General features: G+C 50.1%; 1 protein-coding gene across 8 annotated transcripts, besides 2 other annotated features; it reads right to left on the bottom strand.

Annotated features, from left to right (window-relative positions):
- Positions 1297 to 1945: an enhancer, noted in NCBI's record as "H3K27ac hESC enhancer chr20:44447254-44447902 (GRCh37/hg19 assembly coordinates)". NCBI's record gives its function as "activates a minimal SCP1, AML or CMV promoter by ChIP-STARR-seq in primed H9 embryonic stem cells {active_cell/tissue: H9 hESC(primed)}" and the evidence as "EXISTENCE:reporter gene assay evidence [ECO:0000049][PMID:30033119]".
- On the bottom strand, positions 3608 to 7916 carry UBE2C (ubiquitin conjugating enzyme E2 C). 8 transcript variants are annotated; one of them, NR_104037.2, is made up of 6 exons: positions 7764 to 7916; positions 7096 to 7123; positions 6167 to 6176; positions 4815 to 4899; positions 4647 to 4706; positions 3608 to 3851 (listed from the first exon to the last, which is right to left on the bottom strand). NR_104037.2 is itself a non-coding variant. In NM_181799.3 (6 exons), exons 1-6 carry the CDS (start codon positions 7862 to 7864, stop codon positions 3793 to 3795), a joined length of 486 nt encoding a protein of 161 aa, NP_861515.1. In that variant the 5' UTR covers positions 7865 to 7916; the 3' UTR covers positions 3608 to 3792. The 8 variants fall into 8 exon arrangements, 6 of the variants coding, with proteins under 6 accessions (NP_861515.1, NP_008950.1, NP_861517.1 ...); NM_181799.3 differs by lacking the exon at positions 4815 to 4899 and adding an exon at positions 5020 to 5170 and having other exon boundaries at positions 6090 to 6176; NM_007019.4 differs by having other exon boundaries at positions 4815 to 5019; positions 6090 to 6176.
- Positions 7924 to 8113: a silencer, noted in NCBI's record as "silent region_12962". NCBI's record gives its function as "represses an Ori minimal core promoter by ATAC-STARR-seq in GM12878 lymphoblastoid cells {active_cell/tissue: GM12878}" and the evidence as "EXISTENCE:reporter gene assay evidence [ECO:0000049][PMID:35858748]".

Raw genomic sequence — 8510 nt, 5'->3', positions numbered from 1 at the left:
AACATGGAGAAACCCCGTCTCTACCAAAAATACAAAATTAGCCAGGTGTGGTGGCACATGTCTGTAATTCCAGCTACTTGGGAGGCTGAGGCAGGAGAATCGCTTGAATGCGGGAGCCAGAGGTTGCAGTGAGCAGAGATCGTAGCATTGCACTCTAGCCTGGGCAACAAGAGTGAAACTCCGTCTCAAAAAATAAATTTAAAAAAAAAAAATCTGATCACGTCACTGCCCTGCTCAAGGCTTCATTAGCTGGCTGTTGCCTCAAGATAAAGTCCAAGTTTTTTTTTTTTTTTTTTTTAAGGACTGAATCTCCCTATCACACAGGCTGAAGTGCAGTGGCACAATTATAGCTCACTGCAGCCTCGAACTCCTAGGTGCAAGTGATCCTCCCTTCTCAGCCCCTAGTTATTTTATTTTTTGTAGAGATGGAGTCTCACTTTGTTACCAAGGCTAGCCCAAGTACCTTAATATGGCCTTCCAGCCTATCATGACCTGACATCTATGCGACTTCCCCATCCTGTATTATTTTTTTTTTTTGAGACAGAGTTTTGTGCTTGTCAGCCAGGCTGGAGAGCAGTGGCGTGATCTCGGCTCACTGCAACCCCCGCCTCCCGAGTTCAAGCGATTCTCCTACCTCAGCCTCCTGAGTAGTTGAGACTACAGGTGCCTGCCACCATGCCCGGCTAATTTTTATATTTTTAGTAGAGATGGGGTTTCATCATGTTGGTCAGGGTGGTCTTGAATTCCTGAGCTCAGGTGATCTGCCCGCCTTAGCCTTGCAAAGTGCTGGGATTATAAGCGTGAGCCACCACGCCTAGCTCTGTATTCCTCTCCTTACATACTCCTGAACTTCTTGCTATCCAAGGAATGTGCATCTCCCTCAGGGCTCAATTTCCTTCTCCAAAAACCTTTCCCTGACCCTCCTATTCTATTGGGTGCTCCACCTGTGAACTTACATAGCAATATGTGAGTTCAGCACCAACATTTATTCAGTGCTTACTATGTGCCAGGCATTGTTCTAAGGTCCTTCCACTGTCTTATGAGGTAGGTACCAGTATTTTCATTTTACGGAGAGGTTAAATGTAACTGCCTACATGTTTACGGGCAACATGGAGGTGGAGCCAGGATCCTGAAACAGTTCTGCTTACCTGGTCTGAGCTTTTCTTTTTCTTTTTTTTTTTTTTTGAGATGGAGTCTTGCTCTTGTTGCCTAGACTGGAGTGCAATGGACGATCTCGGCTCACTGCAATCTCCGCCTCCCAGGTTCAAGCGATTCTTCTGCCGTAGCCTCCCGAGTAGCTGGGATTACAGGCACTCGCCACCATGCCTGGCCAATTTTTTGTATTTTTAGTAGAAACGGGGTTTCACTATGTTGGTCAGGCTGGTCTCAAACTCCTGACCTCAGGTGATCCACCCGCTTTGGCTTCCCAAAGTGCTGGGATTACAGGCATGAGCCACCGTGCCCAGACTGGTCTGAGCTTAATAACTGGGCTGTATGGCACTTATTCCGCAGTCCCCGCTGTTGATGGGCCTGTCTGTCCCCCAAATTCCAGCCTCTTTAAGGGCAGAGCTGTATTTTCCCTGTTTTGTCCCCAGCCCCAAGCAGAGGGCCTTTGTCTTGTAGGAATTCAATAAAATGGGAATCATAATAACCAGAAATTCAAATACTTCCTGACCAGGCTTCTTTCTGTTGCAAGTGCCAGAAATCTAAATCAAACGGACTTAAACCAAAAAGGGATTTGTTAGTTTATCGAACTGGGATGGCAAAGCATGAACTGGAGGCCAGAGTCTCAGTTAATGTCATCTCTCCGACTCCCAGCTGTTTGTCTCTACTTGGCTTTCTTCCGTCTGCAGCGGGCTCCCCCAGCAGCTGAGACTGACTCCCTTCTCTTTTAGCAACCCCATTAGTAAAATAACTTTACTCTCTCCCAGTGATTAATTCCAGACAACACCAGTTGAATCTGAACTACAGTTTAGACCTGTGACTGGCCCAAGGCAGGCCATGTGGCCATCTAAGGTACCAAACACCGTGACCAAGGACCACATGGCAGATGAAAACACATCCACCACAGTTAGTATTCGAAACATTTCTTTTAGAGATAAGGTCTTACTCTGCTGCCTAGGCTGGAGTGATAAGCTTACTATAACCTTGAATTTCTGGCCCCAAGTGATCCTCCCACCTTGGCCTCCCAAGATGTTGAGATTGCTGATGTGAACCACCAGGCCCGGCCAAGATTTATTTATTTTTCTTTTAAAATTTATTATTTGAGATGGGGGTCTCACTGTGTTGCCCAGACTGGTCTTGAATTCTTAAGTTCAAGCAATCAATCCTCCTGCCTCCGCCTCCCAGAGTGCTAGGATTACAGGGAGTGAGCCACCACACCCGGCCCTGGCCAGCATATATTGACTAATTTAGTGCCAGGTTCTGAGCTCTGGTTTTCTCCAGTATCCGCTAACCTAGTGATTTTCAACCGTGGGAGACCTTCAGAACCTGGAGGGCAGTTTGGGGTCAAGAATTTGCCTAACAAGTTCCGGGTGATGCTGCTGCTGCTGGAAGGACCACATTCTAAGAACATTGCTCTAAATTTTGTTCTTAAGCAGACCGCAGCAATGACATCACTTGGAAACTATTTAGAAACCAAAATAAATAAACAGACTGGATCTTAGGCTCCACTTCACACCTACAGAAAAGAATTTAACAAGATCCCAAGTGTATTTGTATGAATGTTAGATTAAGAAAAAACCCAAGAGGAGAGACCTAAGAGCACAATTATAGACATGAAGGGACCCAACTTCCAATCCCAAACCCCTCCCGCTTCAGGCTTGCACAACCAACCAGCTGCTAACAGACCTGAAGGAGTTGGGTGCAAGGTTGGAGCACATCTGGATGCTGCTTATCTACCTTGGAGATCTTCCTGAAGGGCTTTGTGGGGGCCCTATCACTTCAACCTACTCTTCCACCTGCCGACCCTTGTGGGGACCCAGCTGGTCAGCAGGGGTGTTTCCTCCTAGGGGCTCAAAGACTGGAGCCTTCATCAGGCCAGGGGAAAGAGGCAGCCCAAGGGGCTGGGGGCTCCCTGGGGGATATGCAGCAGGAGGCGACTGTGCCCCCTTGGAGGTGGAGCTCCACCGGGGACCTGGGCTAGAGCCTGGAGACCAGAGCTCAGACCTGAGTCCTGCCAGGGAAGGGGCTTTTTTCCTGGCTGTCTCCCCAGGCCCTGGACCTGCTTAGGGTGACCTAAGCATTCTTCTTCAGGACAGAACATGGGTGGCTGTGTGTTGGGATCCCCCCCCCAACACACACGCTTGTTCCTTCTACAGCTATAGGAGTAGGTTTCAGCCTAAGGTCTGGCTCAGCCTCATCTGCAACACAGCTGAGGGAGCTCCAACATTCACTAACATTGCTGGTACACATCACCGACTCCATAGACAGGAGGCATTATTGTGACACTCATTTTATAGATGAAGAAACAGATGCAGAGTCATAAAATAAGGTACAAGGGAATAAATCTTTGTCACCCCATTGCTTGGCCCCACATCCTTAAGTTCCACCTCTGCCTACCCTGAGTACCTCCAACCCTAGTGAAATTACAACGCAACAACTTGTCTAAAAAAGGACAAAAATGCATTTATTTAATATACAAGGGCTCAACCGAGGCTTAATTTAAAAGACAAAAACAAAACAAAAATACCACAGCTCAAGATAAAGAGTCCTATACAGAAATCACAAAAAGGACAGACCATCTAAGGAAAAATTAAAAAGACGACACAAGGACAGGCTGGGCAGCCTGGGTCAGGGCTCCTGGCTGGTGACCTGCTTTGAGTAGGTTTCTTGCAGGTACTTCTTAAAAGCTGGAAGAGAACAGGCAGGTCTCAGTGAGTGATGGAGACAGGATGAGTTAATCTTTACTATTTATTATTTTTGAGATGGAGTCTCACTCTGTTGACCAAGCTGGAGTGCAATAGCATGATGTCTGCTCACTGCAACCTCTGCTTCCTAGATTCAAGTGATTCTCTTGCCTCAGCCTCCTGAGTAGCTGGGACTACAGGTGCCTACCACCATACCCGGTTAATTTTTTTTGTATTTAGTAGAGACGGGGTTTCACCATGTTGGCCAGGCTGGTCTCAAACTCCTGACCTCATGTGATCCACCCACCTCGGCCTCCCCAAGTGCTAGGATTACAGGCATGAGCCACTGTGCCTGGCCCAGGATGAATTAAGGTGGGCAAGAGGCAGCTGGACCAGGGATGCAAAGGTCGGAGGAGGTGGAGGAGGGGCTGGTTTCCCAGCCCGGCATTCTCCCTGCACTGCCCATCTAGGCAGCTCTCCTGGAAGGGCTTGCTTCCAGTGAGACTGGAGGGCACAGGCAAGGCACTCTACTGAATTCCTGGCCTCAAGCTATCCTCCTGCCTTGGTCTCACCAATAATTTCCCAAAATTATTTATCGCCAAACATTTTTATTCTGCTATAAAACAATTGCTATTTTATAGCAAATAGGAGCACTGGGGCAGAAACAGAAGTGGGTTGCTGCCGACACTCCACCCTGCCCCAACCAACCCGGTCCCAAGTCACTGGGCTCCTTTTGTTTGAGGGAGCCTTTGAAGGTTGGGGGAGGGATCACCCTGGGCTCAAGGACTGAGGACTCACCTGTGGGGTTTTTCCAGAGCTCGGCAGCATGTGTGTTCAAGGGACTATCAATGTTGGGTTCTGTGGGTGGAGAGAAAGAGAAGGTCAAGGCGGTAGAAGAGGCTGACCCCAGGGAGTCCTGACAGGTTCCCAAGTTGCATGGAGGGGAGGGGTGGTCTCTAAAGTCACCTCCTAGAAGGCTCTGGATGGAGAGCAGAATGGTCCTGACATCATACAGGGCAGACCACTTTTCCTTCAGGATGTCCAGGCATATGTTACCCTGGGTGTCCACGTTGGGGTGATAGCAGGGCGTGAGGAACTTCACTGTGGGCGCATTGTAAGGGTAGCCACTGGGGAACTCTAGCGAGAGCTTATACCTCAGGTCTTCATATACCTGGCATTTGGAGAAACAGTTGCAGAGTAAGCTCCAGCAGCAGCCTCATGTCCCAACCCAAGCCCCACACAAGGGGCTTGCTAGAATCTTGAGTTTCTCTGGGACCGGACAGTAGACAAACTGTTGAGCTGGTTCTGATGCTCCCCACTGCCTTTTTAAAAAGTTTTTTTAGTTTAGTTTTTATTTTAGAGACAGGGTTTCACCATGTTGCCCAGGCCAGTCTCAAACTCCTGGGCTCATGTGATCTGCCTGCCTCAGCCTCCCAAAGTGCTGAGATTACAGGTGTGAGCCACTATGCCTAGCCTGATGCTTTCCTCTTATCTGGTGGAGACATCAGTGACTCTTTGGTCTAAGGATTGTAAATTGGCATCCTGTGCTTTAGTTCAATTAGAATATTAGTTGCTGGCCGGGCGTGGTGGCTCACGCCTGTAATCCCAGCACTTTGGGAGGCCGAGGCGGGTGGATCTTGAGGTCAGGAGATCGAGACCATCCTGGCTAACAAGGTGAAACCCCGTCTCTACTAAAAATACAAAAAATTAGCCGGGCGTGGTGGCGGGCGCCTGTAGTCCCAGCTACTCGGAGGCTGAGGCAGGAGAATGGCGTGAACCCGGGAAGCGGAGCTTGCAGTGAGCCGAGATTGCGCCACTGCAGTCCGCAGTCTGGCCTGGGCGACAGAGCGAGACTCCGTCTCAAAAAAAAAAAAAAAAGAATATTAGTTGCTAATACGTAAAAATTAGATTTGGCACAGATTTGGACTTCTGACTCATCTTAAACCTGATCTGCAGCAATGGGAAGCTGCCTTCTTGAGATCTGGCCCTATTGGCCAAAGTCCTCACTTCATCCATTTCCTTGCTGTCTGTCCCCCCATGTAAACATCTAAGATAGGCAGCCCTGCTTTAAACCCACCCTTTATTGCACAGAGGGAAAGAACAAGGCCACATGGCTCAGAGAATGTAAACAGTCACAGGAGGAGTGTCTTGCTCCGCCAAAGGCTTGAAGCAGAGCTCGCACTTGGATCTCACTTCCCACCTTTCCCCAGACTCACTCACCCATCCCAGCCCTACACTTACTGTTCCAGCTGCTCCATGGATGGTCCCTACCCATTTGAAAAGGTTGTCTGATTCAGGGAAGGCAGAAATCCCTTTATCGCCAGACATCTGGGGAGAAAACACATTTGTTGGAATGTGGAGTACACTTTTGGGCATAGCAAAGGTCAGTGGGTGAGCTTTCCCCTTAATTTTATATATATATATATATATATATATATATGCTCACATACACACACACACATATATATGTATACACACACACATATATATGTGTATATATATGAGATATAGATGGGGTTATGCCATCTCTACTAAAAAATATATATTTACATATATATATATATAGAGAGAGAGAGAGAGAGATTGAGAGAGAGAGATAGACAGAGACAGACACACACACACACTCTGTCGCCCAGGCTAGAGTGCAGTGGTGCGCTCGGCTCACCGCAACCTCTGTCTCCACGGTTCAAATGATTCTTGTGCCTCAGCCTCCCGAGTAGCTGAAATTACAGGCATGCACCACCATGCCTGGATAATTTTTGTATTTTTAGTAGAGACAGGGTTTTGCAATGTTGGCCAGGCTGGTCTCGAACTCCTGACCTCAAGTGATCCGCCCACCTTAGCCCCCCAAAGTGTTGGGATTATAAGGTGTGAGCTACCGCGCCCAGCCTCCCCTTAATCTCATCACTCTGATCCAAAATAAAGCAACCAAATTCATAGGCTAGAAATACCAAGAAGGGCGGGGAGTTGGGTGTGGGTAAAGCTTGGTTGGGGCTAGGAAGTAGGGACACACTGGATAGGGAGGGTCTTGTATGACTTCAGGGAAGTGTTCGAGATAACTTCGTGTGGGGGGATGGAATTGGGAGGAGGGACTGCTGGAAGAAATGGTGTAGGTGGGGTGTATGAACTTCTTTCCCAGGAGGGAGCAAATTACATTACCCCTATGTCTAGCAAAAAAGCTGACGGAAAAAAGGAGGCTACTGAAAATTGGATGGAAGGCTGGGGTTCTGGGCACTTAATCACTCACCATGAGGGTCATCAGCTCCTGCTGTAGCCTGAAAAAAGAGTATTCGGGGTTACCTGGGAGTCTGGATGGGCCAGGCCTCCAGACGGTGCATCTTCTCCCACCTGAATCTCAGGGGGAGCCGTCATGGAGGCTCCCCACATCACCAAGGTCAGGCTCAGCTCAGGGTATACTCACCAGATCCACAGGACGATCCTAGCGAGTCCTCACCCTCCCTAATTCCAGACTCCCTCGGGATGATTCTGGCATGTTCTTAATTCCCCAGGCTTTAGCATCTCTTCCTTGCCCGACTCAACTTCTCCCTTCCCCTGTCTCGGCCAAGTCACGAGGGTCCTTGAGCGTCTTCATCTAGGCCCACCAGGGAAGGAGTCTGGCAGCGCCCCTACCCTCCCATTCTCCTTCGGGAGAGTCTCAAAGAGCGGTCTGAGCTCCTGGCCTGTCCCCCATCTCTCGAATCTCACCCGCGCAAGGAGGTGGGAGTCCCGGAAGTCTCCGCCCTCGACACCCATGCCCAGGGGAATGCCAGGCCCCGAGCTCCTGGTGTGTTCTCCTGCACCCGCAGATCTCCCGCTCCAGGAGGTGGCGGCGGGGGGTGGTCCTAGAAATCTTTGCTCTGGGTACCAATGCCTAGGGCATGGCAGGCCCGGCGAGTGGTAGGCCGCATCACTCACCTTTTGCCCACCGGACCCCGGGCGGCGCCCCCGCTCGGCTCAGCTCCTTTACGGGCGGCGGCGACGCTAGTGGCGGCTGGGTCGCGGTTTTGGGAAGCCATCCGGGCGGCGTTGGCAGAGAGACAGGAACTCGGAGAACACGACTGCAACTGCAGGACTGCGGGCCCGCCCGCCCGCGTTTGAATTGTAACCCTCTGGGGGCGTCGACCAATCAATGGCTCGCTTGGGTTTGATCCAGCCAATGAGACGCTCCGGAGCGCTCTATTGCTGCGCCACTGCTAGACCTACCCACTGGCGCACCGCTATTGGGCGGCAGAATCCCGCTTCTGACAACCGATTGGTAGATGATGCTGCCATTAACTAACGAATCCGTAGCGAATTGGTGGCCGTTGGAAAACGCTAACCATTAAAGGGCCAAGAAAACGTCCACGTGGGATGAACCCCTCCTTCTGGCTACACGTCTTACTCCGCGTGGGAACACTCGGCACGCCCAGCCTTGATCCAATTTCCCTCGGGCAGGGAGTGCCTCCAATCCTGCAGCACTGGTACCCTCCCACCATTATAATCGCCTGGGCACCTTTGCTGCGTCCTAAGTATCTGAAAATCCCAGCGAGGGGAAAAACTAAAGGCTGATGGCCAGAGCAGCAGGCTCCCTATTAGAAAACATAGGTCCATACATCTCCGCAGAGATGACAGAAATAAAAAAAGGCAACATTGGTTCAGGCTGGTCGCAGTGGCTCACGTCCG

The sequence above is a fragment of the Homo sapiens genome, chromosome 20 (genome assembly GCF_000001405.40).
Source record: "Homo sapiens chromosome 20, GRCh38.p14 Primary Assembly".
Classification (NCBI taxonomy): domain Eukaryota; kingdom Metazoa; phylum Chordata; class Mammalia; order Primates; family Hominidae; genus Homo; species Homo sapiens.
This window is presented reverse-complemented; position numbering and strand designations above follow the sequence as displayed.